The 22127-nt window shown below is 43.7% G+C and overlaps 1 protein-coding gene and 1 long non-coding RNA gene across 13 annotated transcripts in view, besides 2 other annotated features; one reads left to right on the top strand and one right to left on the bottom strand.

The window, feature by feature from the left end:
* The window catches only part of DNMBP (dynamin binding protein), a 134377-nt gene that overhangs the window by 35013 nt on the left and 77237 nt on the right, over positions 1 to 22127 (bottom strand). For 6 of the 12 annotated variants that reach the window (NR_199817.1, NM_001441292.1, NM_001441290.1 and 3 more), the window contains exon 1: positions 3370 to 3453. The exons of 5 other annotated variants lie outside the window; for them this stretch is intronic. Coding sequence is in view for 1 of the 7 variants with exons in the window: in NM_001318326.2 (NP_001305255.1) it covers positions 19025 to 20180 (1156 nt within the window). In the remaining 6 variants the exon portion in view is untranslated. Of the gene's footprint in view, positions 1 to 3369; positions 3454 to 19024; positions 20325 to 22127 lie in introns of those variants that run through there. One more of the 12 variants, NM_001318326.2, reaches the window with a different exon arrangement.
* Positions 2693 to 3315: an enhancer, noted in NCBI's record as "OCT4-NANOG-H3K27ac-H3K4me1 hESC enhancer chr10:101673033-101673655 (GRCh37/hg19 assembly coordinates)". NCBI's record gives its function as "activates a minimal SCP1, AML or CMV promoter by ChIP-STARR-seq in primed H9 embryonic stem cells {active_cell/tissue: H9 hESC(primed)}" and the evidence as "EXISTENCE:reporter gene assay evidence [ECO:0000049][PMID:30033119]".
* Positions 3316 to 3938: an enhancer, noted in NCBI's record as "OCT4-NANOG-H3K27ac-H3K4me1 hESC enhancer chr10:101673656-101674278 (GRCh37/hg19 assembly coordinates)". NCBI's record gives its function as "activates a minimal SCP1, AML or CMV promoter by ChIP-STARR-seq in naive and primed H9 embryonic stem cells {active_cell/tissue: H9 hESC(naive and primed)}" and the evidence as "EXISTENCE:reporter gene assay evidence [ECO:0000049][PMID:30033119]".
* Positions 16622 to 22127, top strand: part of DNMBP-AS1 (DNMBP antisense RNA 1) — a 31794-nt gene continuing 26288 nt past the window's right edge. Inside the window, exons 1-2 of the long non-coding RNA NR_024130.3 lie at positions 16622 to 16716; positions 17577 to 17657. This is a non-coding gene — a long non-coding RNA (DNMBP antisense RNA 1). The remainder of the gene's footprint in view (positions 16717 to 17576; positions 17658 to 22127) is intronic.

The raw sequence follows: 22127 nt of genomic DNA on the forward strand, positions 1-22127 counted from the left end.
GGTTTCTAGATGCCATTCTCCACTAAAAGGAGGCAGGGTTCTTTGAAGAAATGGCTAATTCCAGGGCTGGGGCAGAGAAGGTATAGCTGAGCCTGAAATGTGGGAGAAAGTGAAGAAGTACTCAACAACATGGTGGGGATAGGTCAAAGGGCACAGAGGCCAGCTTGAAGGGGCTCCCACTGGCCAATCTGGCACAATTTGAGTATAAATGAAAAAGCACAATGGATTATTCCACTGAATAAGAACCTGTAAGTACATATTGATAATATGTAAGTACATAAATAAATGGGGGAGAAGAGAAAACTCTTTGTTATGGTAGAATGTCAGCTGATAAATAAGAGAAGAAATAATGGAGTCAGCAAATCACCATTTTAGGCCAAGTGTGGTGGCTCATGCCTATAATCCCAGCACTTTGGGAGGCCGAGGTGGGTAGATCACTTGAGCTTGGAGTTCAAGACCAGCCTGGGCAACATGGTGAAACCTCACCTCTACAAAAAATACAAAAATTAGCAGCACATGGACTGGCACACACCTATAGTCCCAGCTACTCAGGAGGCTGAGGTGGGAGGATGGCTTGAGCCTGGGTGGCAGAGGTTGCAGTAAGCTGAGATTATGCCACTGCACTCCAGCCTGAGTAAAAAAAAAATCTGGCCAGGTGCAGTGGCTCACGCCTGTCATCCCCGCACTTTGGGAGTCTGAGGCTGAGGCGGACAGATCACCTGAGGTCAGAAGTTCGAGACCAGCCTGACCAACATGGTGAAACCCCATCTCTACTAAAAATACAAAAATTTGTATTTTGCCTGTAATTCCAGCTATTCAGGAGGCTGAGGCAGAGGTTGCAGTGAGCCAAGATTGCACCACTGCACTCCAGCCTGGGAGAACAGAGCAAGACTCCATCTCAAAAAAAAATCCATGTTCATACAAAATACACACTGAAGCTTACTAAGGGGCACAATATATGCAATGTACTCTTAGTTCATTAAAGAAAAAAAAACTGCATGTGGAGAGTGGGGATTGACAGAGAATGAGATAAAAACAGCAAAATGTTAAATATGGGTGAATTTGTATAAAATGTATACAGGAGTTTTCATTGTACTATTGCAATTTTCTGTATATTTGGTATTATTCAAAATAAAACTTAAGACATAACAGAAAAAGCTCTTTCTCGAACTTTTTGGTAGAATGAATGGCAAAACTTGAAGCATAACCCTGATTTCATCAGTGTTCGATTATGATTCTAAATTCATTGTGTTACATATAAAATTTATTTCTAATAGGCTTGTTTTAAATTTTCTTTGTGATCTCAAAGCAACAGACTTTCAATCCCAAATATGGTCTCATTAGTGCCAAGTTGAGAATAGAAACTCATTTTAAATACAAGACTAAAAAGCTCTGGAGAGGGAGAACATTTACTGAATTCCTATCACATGCCAGGTACTTTACAGATTATATCCCTGAACTCATTTAATACTCACATCAGAATTTTTAAGTAGGTATTATTACTCCCATTTAATAGGTAAGAAAATCCAGGCTTGGAGAGGCTGACAAACTTGTCTGAGGTTATATAGTGAGTAAATGGCAGTTGTGGATTTAGAACCTAAATATATTTAAATCCAAATCCTGTGCACTTAATCCTGCACCATTTGGTTTCCCTGGCCTGGAATCTCAATGAGAAAAGGTCAGGGGCTTATTTGCTTCAAATCTTAAAAACTCCCTGGAAACCACTGTGTACTCTCCTGAGAATCAAAATTCTACTAATTATAGTAGTTGAAAACACAAAGTACCAGCAAGCACTTACTCATCAATCAGAAGCCAGCCAGCCTATGTATTAGATTTTTATTTCTTTAAAATGGAGAAAAACAATAACAATTCTTTTAAACTACCAGCGTGCCTTCCCCTGTGCCCCCACCCCCCGAAAATGGGGTTTATAAACTCTTGAGCAGCCTTTAAAAACCCAAACACTTTGGTGTGATTAAAAACCCCTGTGGGATGTTTTCACTATATTGCAGTTTCCTGGACACCATCCCTGGGATTCAGATTCAGCAAACCTGGGTGGGACCGGGGTATCCGCAATTTTAATAAAACCCTAGGTGTTTCCTTCCCTCCTCTTTCTCTTCCTCTCTCTTTAAAGGAGGGGGTTGTTACCCAGACTAGTTTCAAACTCCTGGGGCTCTCAAGCGATCCTCCCACCTCAGCCTCCCAAGTAGCTGGGACTATAGGCATGTGTCACTGCTCCTGGCAACCCAAGGTATTTCTGAAGACACAGGTGACCTTCAGGTGCCACAAACATTTATTAACACTCAAAGAGAGTTTTCAAAGATTAAGTCAAATTTTAAAGTCTGGCTTGAAATGACTGTAAGTATAAAAACTTTTTCCTTTATGCCACATATATTCTAATAAAAATATCTGCTCTAAAATTTTAGTATCTGGGCCATGCGTGGTGGCTCATGCCTGTAATCCTAGCGCTTTGGGAGTCTGAGGTGGGAAGACTGCTGGAGCCCAGGAGTTCAAGACCAGCCTGGGCAATATAGTGAGACACCCGTCTCTAAAAAAATTAAATTTTTAGTATCCCGGACAACAAAGCGGGAGAAGGCGGCCTTCACCCCCAGCCAGCTGTGGTGGAAAAAGAAGCTTTGAATCTTGCACTTCCCCACTATGTAGCTGGGGAGCCTTGGAAATGTCCACTTTTATCTCTTGGCCTCAATTTCCCAATCTATAAAATGAGGATAATAATACTTGCTTTGCAGAGTAGTTGAGGGAGTTAAACAAGGTAATAACCCAACAAACATAAGTCCTTTTCCCACAATGGGCCCGAATATGCCATCTGCACCTGATAGATGGTAAATACACTTGGTAAAATGTACCAAGCAGAAAAGTGCCCTGTGCAGACTCTAAAATTCCACTTTTCTATGAGAACAATAAAATGTGCAGACGAGCTCTTACTTTCTTCCTAGGATAGCCCGGCAGGTGTTAAAGGAGCTGGGACTGTTGCACAAATTTACTTCCTGTGATAAAACAATTAGTTGTGGGGTTCCTTCAGTGATTGTGGCTTACCCCCCACCCCAAGTCCTGATTCCATTCCTTCTCAAGACACCCCCAGCCCTTTCCGGTTAGTACATTATCACCAGGCTCACTTCCTAAAGTTCGAAGGAAGGGAGTCATTAGCCCACGGCTTCCCACAACTCCATCACACACACTTCAGAGTTAAAGAGCAGAGCCATGCGCCCTTCCCTTGCCTCAGAAAGCTGGATCTATCTCTAATGGGGAAAATTTTGAGCTCCCGGCCAGATCCCAGGTGCCCTTGAACAGGGACGAAGAGGCTGCCTGTTCCACTTCCTTCTGTGCTGGCTCCCACACCCCAGGACCTACCTGCAGTGCCCAGAGCTGGCTGTGTGTGGAGGTGTGGGCCTGAGGGTAAGCAGGCGGGACAGAATCTTCCCAGAGCTCTGGAATGCTCCACAACCCCCCAAACTCCTTTGAATAGGGTCGGCATTTCCCCCAGGCTTCCCACATTTACATATGAATCGCGCAAGTCACCCGGGCTATCACAGCAGGGCTTGTCCTAAAGGATGGAGCTGGAACCCTAAGCGTACTGGACTGAGAAGTGCACCAGCGGGCCCAGCAGTACCTGGATCAACACCTTCCTTTCTATTTGGTGTTCTTTCCTAGTCCTAAAACCCTCGAAATTCCACCTCTGGAGTTTGAATCTAAGATTATTATCTCTTCCTTTTCTACCCCATGCTAAGCCTTTTTGTTGTTGTTTTGCGTGGGAAATGGGGAATGCCCTTTTGAGGAAAGAATTCCAAAGGCCCAGCCATCTCTTGTGATGAGAGGCAAAACTGTGAAGTGGGCAGCAGTTGCCTGTTTAGTCTGCTCCTGAGCCTCTTTATGCAGTCTTTCACCCACAGCTTAGCCAAGGGACCCCAAACCTCCCCCTCCTTTAGGCAATGAACCCTAAAGCCATCACAGAGCAGATTTCAGCTGGGTAGTCCCAGGACAGCAAGAACAGGGATGGCAGGAGTGATTCACAGGAACTGGGAGTCCCGCTCACATCTTCCAAACATTTACACTTAAATGAACCAGGGAGAAGAAAGGCACACAACAATATGCCACAATTTTTTAAGAAAATGCACAATTTTGTAAGAAAATGGAGAACGGGGAAAAGAGACGAAAGAAAGGAAAATCTGCAAAAACCCATACATATTTCTATATAAACATATAGGCTGGGCGCAGTGGCTCACGTGAGGCCTGTAATCCCAGCACCCTGGGAGGCCGAGATGGGTGGATCACCTGAGGTCAGGAGTTTAAGACCAGCCTGGTCAACATGGTGAAACCCCATCTATACTAATAATACAAAAAAATTAGCCTGGTGTGGTGGCACACACTTGTAATCCCAGCTACTTGGGAGGCTGAGGCAGGAAAATCGCTTGAACCTGGGAGGTAGAGGCTGCAGTGAGCCGAGATCGTACCATTGCACTCCAGCCTGGGCAACAAGTGTGAAACTCTGTCTCAAAAAAAAAAAAAAATATATATATATATATATATACACACACACACATATATATACATATATATACACATATACACATATATACATCTACACACATATACACACATATACATATATACATACACACACACACACACACACGCATATATATAAAATTATGTAAGTGTAGAGAGAAAGGTCTGGAAGGAAAACACACGAAATTCATCCCAGAGTTTGTCTCAGGGAAGGACCTAGGATTTGGGGGAGAAGTTGAGATCAATGGGGACTCAAACTTAACCAGTACTTTTTAACCTCACAGGAACAAAATAATTAAAAAAAAAAAAGTCATACTGGCTGAGCACAGTGGCTCATGACTATAATTCCAGCATTTTGGGAGATAGAGGCGGGAGGATCACTTGAAACCAGGAGTTCGAGACCAGCCTGGGCAACATAGTGAGACCCTCAGTCTCTACAAAACAAACAACAAACAAAATTAGCTGGGCGTGGTAGCACGTGCCTGTAGTCCCAGCTACTCCGAAGGCTGAAGTGGGAGGATCACCTGGGCCTTCGAGGTTGAGGTTGCAGTGATCTGTGATAGCTCCACTGCACACCAGCCTGGACAACAGAGTGAGACCCTGTGTCAAAAAGAAAAGAAAACAAATATTTATATGGCACTATGTGTGTCATGCACTGTTCTAGGTATTTTACAAATATTAATTTAGCTTCAAAACACCCTATTATTGTCCCCATTTTACTGATGAGGAAGGAAGAAAAATTAAGTAACTGCCCCAGTAAGTAGAAGAGCTGAGATTTCAACCTACCTTGGCTCCAGAGTCTGTGCTCTTTACCAATAGCTATTCTGTCTCTTTTTTTCCCAGGAAGGCAAACCATATGCATTCTAACCTGGAATTCCACTTTTGGGTTTTGGTAGCCATCTGGTAGCTAATAGCAAAGTGGTGCAATTCTAGAGCACAATTTAACCTGATAATTAGAGCCACAGTTTGCCCACAATAAGACTGTGAACAATGATACATTTAAGCATATTTGCACATATTAATATGATTGCATTTATAAAATGCCACCCAATATAACATAAATTACCTAGACAGGCTGGGCACAGTGGCTCATGCCTGTAATCCTAGCACTTTTGGAAGCCAAGGCAGGCGGATCACCTGAGGTGAGGAGTTTGAGACCAGCCTGGCCAACATGGTGAAACTCTGTCTCTACTAACATTACAAAAATTAGTTGGGCGTGGTGGCGTGTGCCTGTAATCCCAGCTACCCAGGAGGCTGAGGCAGGAGAATCGCTGGAACCTGGGAGGCAGAGGCTGCGCCTCCAGCCTGGGCGACAGAGCGAGACTCTGTCTCAAAATAAAAAAATAAATAAGTAAATCCCTCAGACAGAATCTAACCTAGTTGTGTCATACACAGAAAATATGCAACGGTATTCCAGGTAATTTATGGCAGAAATTATGTGAAATGAAGGGAAAGGCCAATTTTATTAAGTCTTTTCATTTTAAAAGTTAAAATCGAGGGCAAAGAGGGATAGGGGAGTAAATTAAAACTTTAATATTTTTTCTACTTAAAAAAAAAAATCGAACCTCAATACTTTATCTACTTTAAAAAAAATCAAACCTTATAGCCCAGAAGCCTGCTTTTAGGAATTTATTCTACTAAATAATTGGACAAGGGCACAAATATGTTCATTCAGGGATGGTCAATGTTTTAAAAAGCTTAGAAGCAACCTAAACAGAAAGAACTAAAATTTCCTCAAAAGGGTCTGGGTAGAGAGCAGTGGAGTGTGCCTGTAGTGCCAGCTACTCAGGAGGCTGAGGCAGAAGAATTGCTTAATTCCAGGAGGCGGAGGGTGCAGTGAGCGAGATCACGCCACTGTACTCCAGCCTTGGTGACAGAGTGAGACTCTGTCTCAATAAAAAACCAAAAGAGCAAAAGGGCCCAGGTAAATAAACTATGGCATGCCCATATAATAAAATACTCTTATAAGGCCAGGCGCAGTGGCTCACACCTATAATTCCAGAACTTTGGGAGGCCAAGGCAGTGGATCACCCGAGGTCAGGAGTTCAAGACCAGCCTGGCTAACATGGCGAAAACCCGTCTCCACTAAAAATACAAAAATTAGTTGGTTGTGGTGGCACGCGCCTATAATCCCAGCTACTCTGGAGGCTGAGACAGGAGAATCACCTGAACCTGGGAGATGGAGGTTGCAGTGAGCTGAGGTTGTGCCAATGTACTCCAGCCTGGGTGACATCTAACGTGAATTGCTGAAAAAAGTTTATGAAAGAATTGTAGTTTTGTTAAAAAGGGAAAAATATTTTAAATGCACATATTTGAAAAGAGTGTTAAAGGTGACAGAAACCGAGTTTTTCCTTTCTTTTCACTTATTCCCATTTCTAGTATTTCTATGATGAATATATAATATTGCTATGACAAAGAATAATAAAGTAGAAAAAAGAACATTTGCTGTAAAACGAGAATGTTCTAACAGTCAGCCCCCAACTACCGTTAGTCCATTTCAAACGTTCTTTACATTTTAATAATCTGAGGTTTCTTTCCTGACCTATCAATCCCTATAAATGGATGAAGAAAATAGGGGCTGGGCGCGGTGGCTCATGCCTGCAATCCCAGCACTTTGGGAGGCCGAGGCGGGTGGATCACGAGGTCAGGAGTTCGAGACCAGCCTGGCCAACATGGTGAAACCCCGTCTCTAAAAAAAATACAAAAATTAGCTGGGCGCAGTGGTGCCCACCTGTAGTGTAGTCCCAGCTACTCAGGAGGCTGAGGCAGGAGAATCCCTTAAACCCAGGAAGCAGAGGTTGCATTGAGCCAAGATCGTGCCACTGCACTCCAGCCTGAGCGATGGAGTAAGACTCTGTCTCAAAAAAAAAAAAAAAAAAAAAAGAAAAGAAAGGAAAACATTGTTGAAATAATATGCAAAATAGAAAGCAAAAACACAACTGCCTGCCTAGCAACGCATCTAGAAGCAGTCTTTCTGCAGCAAACCCTGAGAGGAGGCGATTTGTCTGTACACGTGCTCATCTTCTCCCCAGCCCTGCCTGGAGGAATCACAAACCCTGGTTTTCCGTGTTACCACAACACTCTGGCCAGCCCACCCAACCCCCACTGCTTTTCCTCTAGCACCTACTTTACTTCTACTTGGAGAAATTTTATCCTGCTCTGTGTAAAACTTCCAGAGCTGCAGGGCTCATAGCAGACTTCCTGGATCACCAAACTTCAGAGGTAAATCTATTACAGTTAGGTCCTAAATCTCAACAGCAAGAGGAAAAACGTTCCTGGTGGCTTTTGCTCTGTAATGTCGGTCTATTTTGGCAAGTAGCCTGAAGTAAAATCCCTGCTGGGAGAAATTCCACCTCGGAGACCCAGCTCAAAGCCTCCCTTTCCCCTTTTCATATCCAGGTCCCAATCTAGGCAAACAGGACAACAAATGAGGATCAAGTGCCCAAATTACAGGAGTCTGCAACTTCTTTTTTTTTTTTGAAAAGGAGTCTCACTGTCGCCCAGGCTAGAGTGCAGTGGCACAATCTGGGCTCACTGCAACCTCCGCCTCCCAGGTTCAAACAATTATCCTGCCTTAGCCTCCCGAGTAGCTGGGATTACAGGCACCTGCCACTACACCCAGCTAATTTTTGTTCTTTTAGTAGAGACAAGGTTTCACCATGGTCTGCAACTTCTTATGCTGCAGGATAGTGAGTTTAATACTAGGAGTAACTCAAACACCATTTCTGAACACTCACCAAATACACATAAATCCTAGCATGGTATGCTGATAATCTTAAAACTGTGGGATTATTATTTTTTAATCTTTAGGCAGCATAAGTAAAATAATCGACACAGCAAAGATAATTTTTGTAAAATTAAAGTTATCACTGTTTAATAAGCAAATTTTTATGTCAGTCAATAAAACTTTACATGAAAAGCTCTATTTTCTACACACATACACACAGAATCCGATGTTCTATTTTACCAAGGCTCTTGAGGCAAGGTAATAGTGCTCACGTTTTACAAATGAGGAAACAGGCAAAGAGGAATAAAATGACTTGTTTAAGACCAAACAGCTCATAAAGCAGCATATTCAAAACTGGCCTCCCAAGCCAGTGCTCTCCATTAAACGTCAAGGCCCGTTCTGGATTTTGTGTCTTATCCATAAAAGCATGGCCATTTCCTGCATTATATTTCCATTAACACTACAGTGATGGTTCAAAATTTGCTCAACTACATAACCCTCTATTTTTCTCTCCTACTCTATAAAAATCACTTTCTTCAGTTTATATTAATTAGGCGGTTTACTTTTATTCCTTCCACTTGCTCTCATAACATTTTATATATCTTTTACAACTATCCCACCTTCCTCCCCAAAAATCAGTTGATCTAAATTATAATCGTTTAAAGTTTTAATTATAGGCTGGGTGCTGTGACTCACGCCTGTAATCCCAGCACTTTGGGAGGCCAAGGCAGGTTGATCACCTGAGGTAAGGAGTTTGAGACCAGCCTGGCCAACATGGTAAAACCCCGTCTTTACTAAAAATACAAGAATTAGCCGGATGTGGTGGCGTGCGCCACCAGCTACTTGGGAGGCTGAGGCAGGAGAATCGCTTGAACCTGGGAAGCGGAGGCTACAGTGAGCCAAGATGGTGCCACGGCACTACAGCTTGGGCGACAGAGGAAGACTCCATCTGGGAGCTGGGGCAAGGATATGGAAAGCTGAAATGTCCTCTAAAGCATTCTGTAGTTTCAGTCAAGTTGTTTCATCTGTTGGAACTTCAGGAATAGCAAAATAACTGGAGTTAAACTAGATGGTCTTTAAAGTTAGTTCCATTTGAGTGAATGAATCTAGTCTAACAGGCAAGATATAAATTCATGAAACAAAAGAATAAGACAAAATAGAATAAACTTAGGTAGTAAGTGTTTAGGTTTTATTTATTTAAAAGGGTGAACCTAATCTCTCAAAATAAGGATTACTATATTTCCATTTTTTTTTTTTTGAGACAGAGTTTTGCTCTTATTGCCCAGGCTGGAGTGCAATGATGTGATCTCGCCTCACCGCAACCTCCGCCTCCTGGGTTCAAGCAATTCTCCTGCCTCAGCCTCCCGAGTAGCTGGGATTACAGGCACGCGCCACCACGCCTGGCTAATTTTGTATTTTTAGTAGAGAAGGGGTTTCTCCATGTTGGTCACAGTGGCCTCAAACTCCCAACCTCAGGTGATCCACTCGCCTCGGCCTCCCAAAGTGCTGGGACTACAGGTGTGAGCCACCGCGCCCAGCCCTATATTTCCAATATTTTGATGGTAAAATCTGATTAAACCTAGGATATGGGTGGGGTAAAGTCACTTCATTCCCCTATCTCTTCCCAGACTTCGACTTTTGGGGATATATGTGGAGCTGCTCCTAGATCTTGGGAGAGCAGCAGGTGTGGTGAATAAAGCACTCAGACAATAATTCAGAAGGCCTCACCCTGCCTCCCTCCTACCTGTGTGACCTTGGACATGTTATACAACCTTTCTGGGCTGTTGCTTCTGTGTGTGTAACAAAGGGGTTGGGCCTGTTTGTCACTTTCAGCTCTGAACTCTGACGCGACTTCTCAGTCTTTTTTGTTTTGTTTTTGAGACAGAGTCTCGCTGTTGCCCAGGCTAGAATGCAGCGGCACACTCAAAGCTCACTGTAGCCTCAACCTCCTGGGCTCAAGCAATCCTCCCAAGTAGCTGGAACCACAGGCACAAGCCACCACGCCCAGTTATTTTTTTAATCTTTTGTAGAGATGGGGTCTCACTATGTTGCTCAGGCTGGGCTCCAACTCGTGAGCTCAAGGAATCTTCCTGCTTCAGCCTCCCAAAGTGCTAGGATTACAGGTGTGAGCCACCATGCCCAGCCGACTTCCCACTCTTTTACTTCATTTACTCCTCTCAGTTGGGTATGAGTACACCAACTTCTAACCAGTTCCGCAAGGAACATCACTTACTATGGGAGGCCTCTTTCTAATCATCCAGTTAGTCATTTCCTCTCAGCGAGCCCAGAGAACTGGGCACCTGCCACTATTATGAAACCTGTAACAACAAAGTTTAATGGTCTGTTTCCCTATTAGTCCTTGAACAGGACAAGCCTAGCTTGTCTCTGGGCCTTTTCCATCCTTTCTGCTCACCTACTGTCTTTTAAAGCTCAAATCCCAGCTTCTCCATGACACTTTCTCTAGTCCTTGGATTGCTCTTTCCTCGAAATTCACCTCTTCGGCAACAGGTAATAACCCTTGCTATTTAACTTCTGATACACACATTCTGGGACCCAAAGTAGAATATTTATTGAGCATCTATTATATGCCAAGTACTATGTTAGATTCTGGAAATACCATCTTCATCCACTGCTATCATGGAGCTTAGACTCTACTGGACTGACCTGTGTACTCTGTATGCACTCAACCTACAGTACTTAGCACAGCAAATGGCATTTAATAAATGGCAGCAATTGAGACCAGGTGTGGTGGCCCATGCCTGTAGTCTCAGCACTTCGGGAGGCTGAGGCAGGTGGATCACTTGAGGCCAGGAGATTGAGATCAGCCTGGCCAACATGGCAAAACTCTGTCTCTACTGAAAAAAAAAAAAAATACAAAAACGTAGCTGGGTGTGATGGTACATGCCTATAGTCCCAGCTACTCAGGTGGCTGAAGCATGAGAATCGCTTGAACCTGGGAGGTGGGGGCTGCAGTGTGCCAAGATCACGCCACTGCACTCCAGCCTGGGCAACAGAGTGAGATTCCATCTGAAAAAAAAAAAAAAAAAAAAAAAAAAGCAGCAACTAGTATTACTTAGCAGAGTGCCCTAAGCATCACTCTGCTATGATTGTGATGTTTTGGATTCAATGAAATGCAATATATTTCATTGATTTGTTTCCTTTCAGTTTATGATGAGAAGAAAGGGGTGTCTGACACTGTGGAACCAGGTCTGCTGTGCAGCTATGAATACAAACATGGATCTTCCTCCCAAATATGACTACCAGCACTGTCACACCCCTGTAGCCTGTTGGCCTGGTATTTATGTACAGCCACGGGCACTTCCTGGTTTCTCAGGAAATATCAAATTGGAAAACTGTGGTATCAGGGCGAATGAGTCAGAGATCTGAGGTCCCACCTGAGCATGCCATGATATTGCAAGTTAGTTGCTTTGATTCACTCCCCCTTCCCACTGTACCCCTTAACACCCTCAGGTCCATATGAAAGAAGATACCCTAGAAGAGTACATCTTCCCATCCTAACTCATTATCTTGCCTTTCCTTGATATCTCTCGCTTTTACAGAGGCCTGGGGTCTCCCCAGACCAACATTCCTTCATTGTTGATGGAATGTTATGTAAAAATAACATAGGTAATGGCTTGGGAAGAAAACACATAACCTAGCTGCTGCTGTTTTTTTTTTTTTTTTTTTTTTCTTAAAAAAAAAAAAAAGATCTCACTCTCTTGCCCAGGCTGGAGTGCAGTGGTGCAATCATAGCTCACTGCAGCCTCAACTTCCCGGGCTCAAGCAATCTTAACCACCTCAGCCTCCTGAACTGCTGGGACCACAGGCACGCACCACCATACCCTGCTAATTTTGTTTGTCTAGCTTCTTGAGAATACAACTCATGATCCCAGGAAGCAAGGCTGGATGAGAGTTGGCCAAATTGGAGCATTCCAATCTTGGAAGAGGAGTGCCTAATTTACTCGAAAGCTTCAGTTATCTCCCAACTCTTGAAGAAATATGGCCCTGCATTCATTTCCTCTTGCCTCCACATATTTATTTTTTCCCTCTCCTTTGCCTCTTAACTACCCCATTTATCTTCAAACATTTTCTCCTTTTCTTTTTCTTGACACTTTGAGGATCTTGTTGCATACCAAATAGCTTCAGACATTGACATCTCCTGTAATCCCAGCAGTTTGGGAGGCCGAGTCAGGCAGATCACCTGAGGTCAGGAGTTCAGCACCAGCCTGGCCAACTTGGCAAGACCCTGTCTCTACTAAAAATACAAAAATTAGGGCCAGGTGTGGTGGCTCACACCTGTAATCCTAGCACTTTGGGAGGCCGAGGTGGGCGGATCAGGAGGTCAGGAGTTCGACTCCAGCCTAGACAACATGGTGAAATCCCGTCTCTACTAAAAATACAAAAATTAGCCAGGTGTGGTGGCACATGCCTGTAATCTCAGCTACTCGGGAGGCTGAGGCAGAATCACTTGAACACCAGAGTCGGAGGCTGCAGTGCGCTGAGATCACACCACTGTACTGCAGCCTGGTCAAAAGAGTGAGAGTCCGTCTCCAAAAAAAATAATAATAAAATTCTGATTTCCTCCTGACCTCTTCCAATATTCTTGCCCCATCTCTCTTACTGCCTTCCTCCTCCTGCACTGTAACTGTGGGCATCTCTGAGGCTCAGTTCTCAGGCACCTGCTCCTCTCCCCAGCTGTTCCTTCCCTCTGTACCTGAGCTGTATCTCAGTGATACAGCTATGGAGGTGGCTCACCTCCATACAGGCCCAGCTCTGATTTCTTCCTTGAGCTCCAACCCAAACTCCTACTGGCGTCTAAGATTTCAGTACTCTAGTTCTTTCCTCCACTGTGTTCCTCACCACCTTCCCCACGTCTTTGTCACCACAACCCTATGTCTTTCTCATAGTTTCCCCAACCAGAACTGTTCTCCTTGCTTCTCTCTGCCTATCCCAACTCCATTATTTCTTTAAGTTTCAGCCAAGTTCAAACATTTCCCTACAGTCTTTTCTAATAGCTCAAGCAAAAACTGGTCTTTCGGCTGGGCATAGTGGCTCACGTCTGTAATCCCAGCACTTCGGGGGCCGAGATGGGTGGATCACCTGAAGCCAGGAGTTTGAAACCAGCCTGGCCAACATGGTGAAACCCCGTCCCTACAAAAAAATACAAAAATTAGCCAGGCATGGTGGTGCATACCTGTAATCCCAGCTACTCGGGAGGCTGAGACAGGAGAATCGCTTGAACCTGGGAGGCAGAGGTTGCAGTGAGCTGAGATTGTGCCACTGCACTCCAGCCTGGGCAACAGAGTAAGGCTCCAGGCCGGGTGCGGTGGCGGTAGCTCACACCTGTAATCCCAGTACTTTGGGAGGCCGAGGCGGGTGGATCACGAGGTCAGGAGATCGAGACCATCCTGGCTAACACGGTGAAACCCCGTCTCTACTAAAAATACAAAAAAAAAAAATTAGCCAGGCGTGGTGGCGGGCACCTGTAGTCCCAGCTACTCGGGAGGCTGAGGCAGGAGAATGGCATGGACCCAGGAAGCAGAGCTTGCAGTGAACTGAGATCGCACCACTGCACTCCAGCCCGGGCGACAGAGCGAGACTCCGTCTCAAAAATAACAAAAACAAAAAACAAAAAAGAAAACAAAAAACCTGGTCTACCTTCCAACTGTCCATAGCATTTACTGTCTATGCTATACATACTTCTTTTGTATTTTGTCTCTTCAACTGATCTGCAAGCTCCTGCATGGCAGGTGTTTAAGAGTATAGTTGCCTTCTCTGGATACCTTCAATGCTTGGTACAATGCCAAGTACAGACATTAGTTAATAAACACCTGGTGGACTGCAATTAAAGGAGATATGGGATCTATGTGCTGGTATATTAATAATAAGCTTGAATACAGACTGTTGGAACAGATATCATGTTCACATGTTTGCAATGAAAAGAAATCTTGAATACCAGAGTCCTAAAAACTTTGAGCTGTCTGTGTACTACTTCGCAAAAGTGCCTTCAAATCAATGCAGGTTTTTCTTATCTTGGGAGAAAGACAAAACAGAAGATTTTCCTGCTCCACAGCAATTACTGTCCCAACTTTTAAGGGACTGCTTTCATATCCTTATCACCACTGCCCTCCTAAACTCCCTGTCATATGCTCTGTGCCCCTGCTCCTACCCTCCACCAACCTACCAAATGCAAAGGTCTTTCCCGAGTCCATATCCTCTCTTGCACCTTTGCACCTCTGCTGTCTATAATATAGTTGCAACCTCTGTTGGCAGCCTCCCTCTGACTTTCCTAACACTTTTTTTTTCTGTGCACTCTGCAGAGAAATACCTAACACTTTTCTGATATTCTAAATTCATCTTTGCAGACTCAATCTACGGCTGTGCTTCTGCCTTCAAATGTGGTAATGCTGGAAAAGCATTCTAGGTGTCAAGAGAGCCAGATTCTATTCCTGCCCTAATCCTTGACCCAGTTACCTTGGAAACACATTTCAATTTCTCTGAGCTCTATCTCTTCATTTATAAAATAAATGGGTTGTATTTAAGTGTTTTTCAAACATTTTTTACTGTGACCCACACTTTATTTTTTATTTTATTTTTTTGAGACACAGTTTCACTCTGTCGCCCAGGCTGGAGTGCAGTGGCACAATCTCAGCTCACTGCAACCTCCACCTCCTGGGTTCAAGCGATTCTCCCGCCTCAGCCTCCGGAGTAGCTGGGACTACAGGCGCCCACCAACATGCCCAGCTAATTTTTGTATTTTTGTACACAGGGGGTTTCACCATGTTGGCAAGGCTGGTCTCAAACTCCTGACCTCAAGTGATCTGCCCACCTCGGCCTCCCAAAGTGCTGGTATTTCAGGCGTGAGCCACTGTGCCTGGCCTGACCCACACTTTAGGCTGTAACTCACATTTACATAATACATTTATGTCTATACACATACACATACACAAAGTATTACATGCTTACTTTTACTACATAGAATGTAGTATGAAAGTTTTTTCTATTTACTTTTATTTTTCAGAACTGCTGATTGCAACCCCCAAACAGACTTCAAGACCCAGTCATGAGTGGCTACCCATTATTTACAAAAACATGGGATTGTGGCTATATAAGCTTCCTTCCAGTAATAACATAAGAGGCTCCTATTTTGTAGCCTTCCAACCCTGAACCTTTAGCCCTCTCTAGTTTTGTTTAGAGCCCTCTCTAGTTTCATAGTTTTCTCTGTAAGAGCTCTTCATTTAGATATCCTAATATTATTTACATGCAAAACAGGTAACGTGGAATTTGAAACACCAGGTCCCCTTCTCATCATAACCATGTATGTTATTAGCAAGTGCAAAACCCTAGTGCCCACACTTGGTCTAGTAATGGTAGAGTAGCTCACATTGTACTAATCTCCCTACTTATAACTACCAAAAACACTTTACAAGATTTATTTTTTTAACTTTTATTTACTTTTATTTTTCTAGAGATGTGGTCTCACTCTGTCACCCAGGCTGCAGTATAGTGGCATCATCATAGCTCACTATAGCCTCGACCTGCCAGGCTCAAGTGATCCTCCCACCTCAGCCTTCTGACAGATATTTTAAAAAATAACTATATGCAGGCACTGAAAAGCAATCAAAAGCAGGCAGAATTTGGAGGGGATATGACTCAAAACAAGGGAAGCAAACTAGGTAAGATGCACCTGTCTCCAGTCCTCCCCTCAGGGCACTCCCTAGTCTTTTAGGACGCCGGGAAATAAAGCAAAAGAAGAAAGCCCACATGGGGCAATCTTACTGGGCTGAGCAGCCAAAGGTTCCAGTCTGGGGGCTCTGAAGACATTAGCTATTAAGGGGGAAATCCTGGAAAACAGTAAGCCACAGAGAGGAGAGCCCCAAAATCTGTGCAGAAATGCCTCTCAATCCTTCAACTGTGCATGCAGGTGATGAGACTCCAAGGAACCCCGTGGAAAGCTGGAGGCCAGAAGAGCCCAGCAGATAGATCTTCACCAACTGTCTGGCTCTGGGAAGACACAGTTTGAAATTTGAGTCCCTCCAAGTTAGGAGGTTCAATAAACACTTCCAGTTTTCTGTTGAAACCTCCGAAGGGCCACACCTTAGGAATAAGGCCCACCTCTCAGAACTAGAGGTCCACACCCTAGGACTAAGAGCAAACCCCTAACAGACCTGCCCTAAAAAAACCTCAGATGGAGGCCTCAGGAGAATGACTGATCAGGCCGGTGAGAAAGGAAAGCCTGGGGGAAAACTTGGCTTCCTGCCTGGGGGAGAGGCTGGAGAGCAGCCACTGAACAGAGCTCTGTCTCAGATGGAGGAGGGGTGGCAAGGGGAAGACGGGAGAAGAGGAAGGGACAGGACATTCCACTTAGACAATCAAACTTGAAGTGTTTACGGTCTAGGGTAGATGTCCAACAGGGAGCAGGGACTATCAATCTGGAACTCAGAGACGAAACCATGGAGTGACAGGTGGGTGGCGCAACTTATAAAGGGGAAGGGAGGTGGGCAGATAAAACACAAAGAAATGGCCATTTATGAGCACCTACTATGTTCCGGATATGTGACTGTTTTATTTTTCTATCTCATTATGAGAGAGGTATTATCTTCACTTTACAAATTGAGAATCCGAAGCTCCAAGAGGTTAAGTAATTTTTGTCAAGTTAAGGCCATTTAGTAAATGGTGGAGCTGAGATTTGAACTCAGGGCAGACCAACTCTGATGCTTGTTCCTTTGTGTAATTACACAGTGTTCCCTTGTAATATTCAGGAAGGGCAATGGCGTGAGAGAGCTAACAAAGAACGTTAGAATGCTGAAAGATTTCTAGTAAAGACAGAATTTGTTATAGGTCAAGAAGGATATTAGGGGTACAAAAAGGGGTGAACTAAATATGAATATACTTTCAAAAGTTAAGTCCTCAAAGATAAAGAGAGTTGTAGAAATGGAAATGATATTGGGTGGAACCGAGCTGGTTTCAGGGAGATCAGAGGGCACATTACAACACTGCAGAGAGAAGGGTTTCACTCCTGTTAAGTCAAACAGAATAAACACACTTTGATTACAGTTGGGAGGCTTAATACAATAAGGAACTAAACATAGGAAACAAAGTTCACCAAAGGAACAGATGCGGGGGGAAGGGAAGAGGAACAATACAAAAACCAATATAAAGAATCACAGAATCAGACTTTTTTCTTTTTTAGCTGGAAGGAATTTAGAAGTTATCCAGTCCCTATCATTTCAGAGAGAAAATGCACCTAGGAAAAAATGACTAGCTGCTAAAAACCTCAGCCTCCCAACTAAAGCTGGGTTTGGTTTCATTTTTGTCTTTATAGGTGCAGGTTAAGAGCCTGTTAGGTCCAAAATGGTGCCCCAGAAATTCAAGTTAAGTCAAGCCCATGTTGGAAGACCACCAGGTAAACCACCGGCCATCCCAGGACCATAGCAGGCTTATCTTTTCAGTCTGTGGTGGCCCCTAGTACAAATCTAACCAGCCAGCCCATTCTGAAGGAGACCTAGACGAGAAACTTTCTACTTAAGGGGAGGGCATGAGATGGATTTTTCAGATCATTCACATTCTCTGACTAACCTTTATCCTCTGGTCACAGCCTGGACCCCAAAATTGGCCAGAACCAGAAAGGCCGTTTGGCATGAAGACAACATACAGCATACACACACACGAAAGGTTTAACAGAGAGTTCAGTAATTATAAAAATAACACAGTAGAAATAAAGCTCACTTATGAGAACTGAAGAAAAGATATAATGGCAAGAAAGAAAGAACCTCTACATGATAAAAGACTCCTAATATTCTCATTTCACAGACAACGTAGTTAAGGCTCAGTGAGATGAAGTGATTTGAAAGCTAGAAATAATCTTCTGGAATCCACAAGAGTGTCAGTACTCATCATTCACTTAAGATTCCTGAATGTCAAGGAGTGAACAATCTATAAAACAAATCAGGGCTACTCTGGGCACACTGCCTATGGGGTAGCCCTGCTCTGAAAGGAGCGGTAAAAAAAAAAAATTAAAATGAAGGCCTGGCAATGGTGGCTTACACTTGTAATCCCAGTACTTTGGGAAGCAGAGGTGGGTGGTTCGCTCAAGCCCAGGAGTTCAAGATCAGCCTGGGCAACATGGTGAAACCCTGCCCCTACAAAAAAATAAAAAAGTAGCCGGGCATGGTGGCATGTACCCATAGTCCCAGCTACTCAGGAGGCTAAAGTGGGAGGATCTCTTGAGCCCAGGAGTTTGAGGCTGCAGTGAGCCATGACCGTGCCACTGTTCTCCAGCCAGGGGGACAGAATGAGATCTTGTTTCAAAAAAATAAATAAATAAAAATAAAGTCAAGTCTTCTTTTCCATTAATGTCCAAAGAAGTGTAGAGACTGAGAGAAAAAAAAAAAAACATGCCAGGAAAATGAATTTTAGCTTGATGCCCTGATAATAAACTTGCTGCCTCGACAAGATGAACAAAAACATGAAAGTAAGAAAGGAAAGATACTTGAGATTAGAGACATCTGAAAAAACCAGGAAGCGTAAATAAAAGTTCCCATGAGAGCGCTATCCGAATGTTGCATATTTTTAGCACTGTATATATACTCTTGCTCTGTACAATGCCTTCCAAAGTAATTAAATCTCTAAGGTTGTTCTCACTCAAGGTGCACTTGATAAGAAGTTCAGGGCCCGGGCTCCTTAAGAACACAAGTGCTCCTAGTACCTGGTATAACTACCCTTTAAATCTATCTTTATGCTTTATCTTAAGAAGGCTGGCTGAGTTCATACCTTGGGTTTTCTTGCTGTTTTGCACGAACTCTGAGCGCCTCAGGGTGCTGGGTGCTGTGCGGCGGAGGCAACTATTCCTTCTCCAAGTCTCTGGGCCATTTAATTTTTTCTCTTCCTCTAAATGCCAGATGTTCTTCTCTAATGACGAGCTCTGAGGAATCCCCAAATGATGTCCTCCTTGTTCTCCCCTGGTACACTGAGTCTGCAGACCATCCAGAAGGATCCTGCTGCCCCCATGTGCCTTTGTTCTTGGTATGTCAGTGCCATTATACTCCAAATTCTCCATTTGATGGAGAGAATCTGTCCCTCTGGAATTACGAGATTTATATGCACAGTTTGCAAATAAAGCATCATAGCCTTTATTTTCTGTATCAAAATCACCCTGATCCATAATATGAGTCTTTGCTTTGGGATACATGTTGTCATTTTGATGAACATTCCTGTCCCCTTCATGGTATTTGATAAATTCCTTATCTTCATTGACACCATTCGAATCTGAAAAGCTCACAGGCTGACCATCAGGATAACTCCCAGGAACATGATATAAATTGCTGTGTTCTCTACAATAAAAATTAGTTGCCCAACAATCCTCAAGATTATGGTTAACATTCTCATGGTCTATATACCACAACTGAGGTTGACCTAAATTCGCTGAAGAATCATCCAAACCCCTACAGTCAGTCAACTGTTCAGCTTTTTTAGAGTCCTCAGGATTATAATTCAGATTCTTACAGTCTGAGTAGCCATTTGCCTCCCCGTATCCACCAGCTTTCGAGGTCACATCTGGGCTTCTCGTAGGTGAATTATCCTTCGTCCCAGGGCTGAGACTCTCATAATCTACATTTTCTGGACTCCTATAACCATCATGACCTCCGTGGTACACACAGCCCTTTCCACTTTCATGTGCTTCCCCACAGTCCATATAGCTTGGTTCACTCTGTTCAAAATCCCAGTATCCACAATCCCTTTTTCTGTAGGGCTGATGCTGTCCCTTGGCCCAGTACCTGGGATCCAAGTCATTTTCTCTGTAGAGTCCATCCAGCACTGTAAGGTTCCTTTTCCGTACACTCCCGTAGTCTTCATACTCCCAGCTGGAGTCCCAGTGCCTTTTCTCCTCCACTTCCCTTTCTTTTCTAGCCTTCTGGGTTTCACACATATTCTATGTGCTTAAAGACAAAGGTTTTACTATTCTTTTCCATGGGCCTGGGCTGGGCTGTGGACAGGTGCAGTCTAGCCTAAGGCTGGATTTGTCCTGCTTAAAATGTCTCCCAACCATTCCAGACACTCTTCTCGTTGCTCTAGTCGGAGCGCAGTGAGATGTGGAGTTATTTCAACCTCAGGATCCAATCAGCGAGCTACTCTATCTTTCTCCAGAGGCCAGAAGATAATGAGTAACTAGTATGCATGTGATTGGAGTTGCCAGCTTTGTTTGGTGTTTCCCTCAAGCTGGTCAAACTGGCTTGGCTGCTTTACTTGCTGAAGATAGAGGCATTCTGCTACTCCAAAGGTTTTGCAGGAAAAGTCGTGTGAAAGAGAAACAGCACCCCTTTAGAAGTCCAGGTCAGGTCATATATCAGTCTCCCCCGCCTCTTTAATCCTTTAGTAAGCCACCAGGGGTATAAACAAGTGCTTTCCTTCTCAAGCTGCACCTCCATTCCCCATCCTCCAAGTCCACCTTTCTAATCCTTGAACATCTGAAACCTTTCAGGACTTCATCCCTTAACTTAGAGTCAGGACTCTTCTGACTGCTTTGCTTTTCTGGAATTGAAGTCACCAGTTAGTGTACACTCCAATCGCAAGCTGCTGAAGCTCCCACCTGCAGACAGTTAGTCATACGACTGAAGGAAGAAAAAGTACTTCCTTTTACTTTGATCTGGTGAGTAGGTGATTTTATAGCGTAAACATTCTTCCCAGAATGGAGTTAGGTATGCTTTCACATTTTCCCAGATACTTGTCATGCCAGGGAAGCATCAAAAACATTCATTTCTTAAACCTCTTTTCTAGTTAATTCATACAACATATTTAAGAAGTCGAAAATGAGGCCAGAAATCAAAAAGGCAGGTAAATGGCTATTTAAATCAACAAATATTAGATGGTTACCTATCATAGAGGAGGCATTGTGGAACAGAAAAAGACAAACAAATTAGTCCCTGCCTCTTACAATGCAGAAGCAACACGCTTAAAGAAAGATCTAATGTGATAAGTGCTATGGAGCAAAGACAAACAGCAACAGCACCAAAGCAAAGTCCCTGGCATGGCAAGTGGAGGCTTCAGGGAAGCGGTTGGATGTGAACAGTGACTTCTAGGAGAAGCAGGATCTCTGCAGACTTCACATATGGAGCACTAAGAAATGGGGAATCATCTGAAGGATATAATACGTGGAAAATAAGAGAGGAGGCTGAAGAGATAGGTTGGGGTGGACCCCAGAGGATGTCAATGACATTTATTTTATTCAATGGAAAGCAAAGAGTCATGAGGTTTTTGAGCAGGGGAAACACATGCTAAGAGACAGGCCTTAATAAGATTACTCTTTTAGCTGTCTGGTCATTTCTTAGATATCTAGGAATGATTCCTTGAACTTTAATCCTTATTTGTGAAATAATATCCAGAACCCTGAGGAAAACTGCCTTATATGCTTTGTTAATAATTACATGTTTACTCTTGGGTAACTACTAATTCTCTCTGGAACTCAATCTACCCATCAATAAAATGAGGCAGTTGGCCACAATGACTCCTCGGATTCCCCCAGCATGTTTCTAGATCACCTGCCCCCTCAAACAAAAGGCCAATAAAAAACAAATTGACCAGTGGTATTCATCAGTCAAAGCACATGTGTTGTAAATTTGTGATGCCATGAATGTGAGCTCTCAGGAAAGAAGTTCTGACATGGCTCGTATGGAAACCTGAATAAAATACTCTACGTGGTCAGGCTGCATAAAGCACATAGTTCCCCTGGCATTTAGAGACAGCCCAAAAGGAGTCCGTGAGGAACCCAGGACTGCAGTCAGACTGCTCATATCCGATTCTAAGAAGACCTGCACTCCTTTTTACCATTTTATTCCTAATGCATTTCCTGTTCAAATAAAAAATCCAACCAGAGGAA

The sequence above is a fragment of the Homo sapiens genome, chromosome 10 (assembly GCF_000001405.40).
Source record: "Homo sapiens chromosome 10, GRCh38.p14 Primary Assembly".
Classification (NCBI taxonomy): Eukaryota; Metazoa; Chordata; class Mammalia; order Primates; family Hominidae; genus Homo; species Homo sapiens.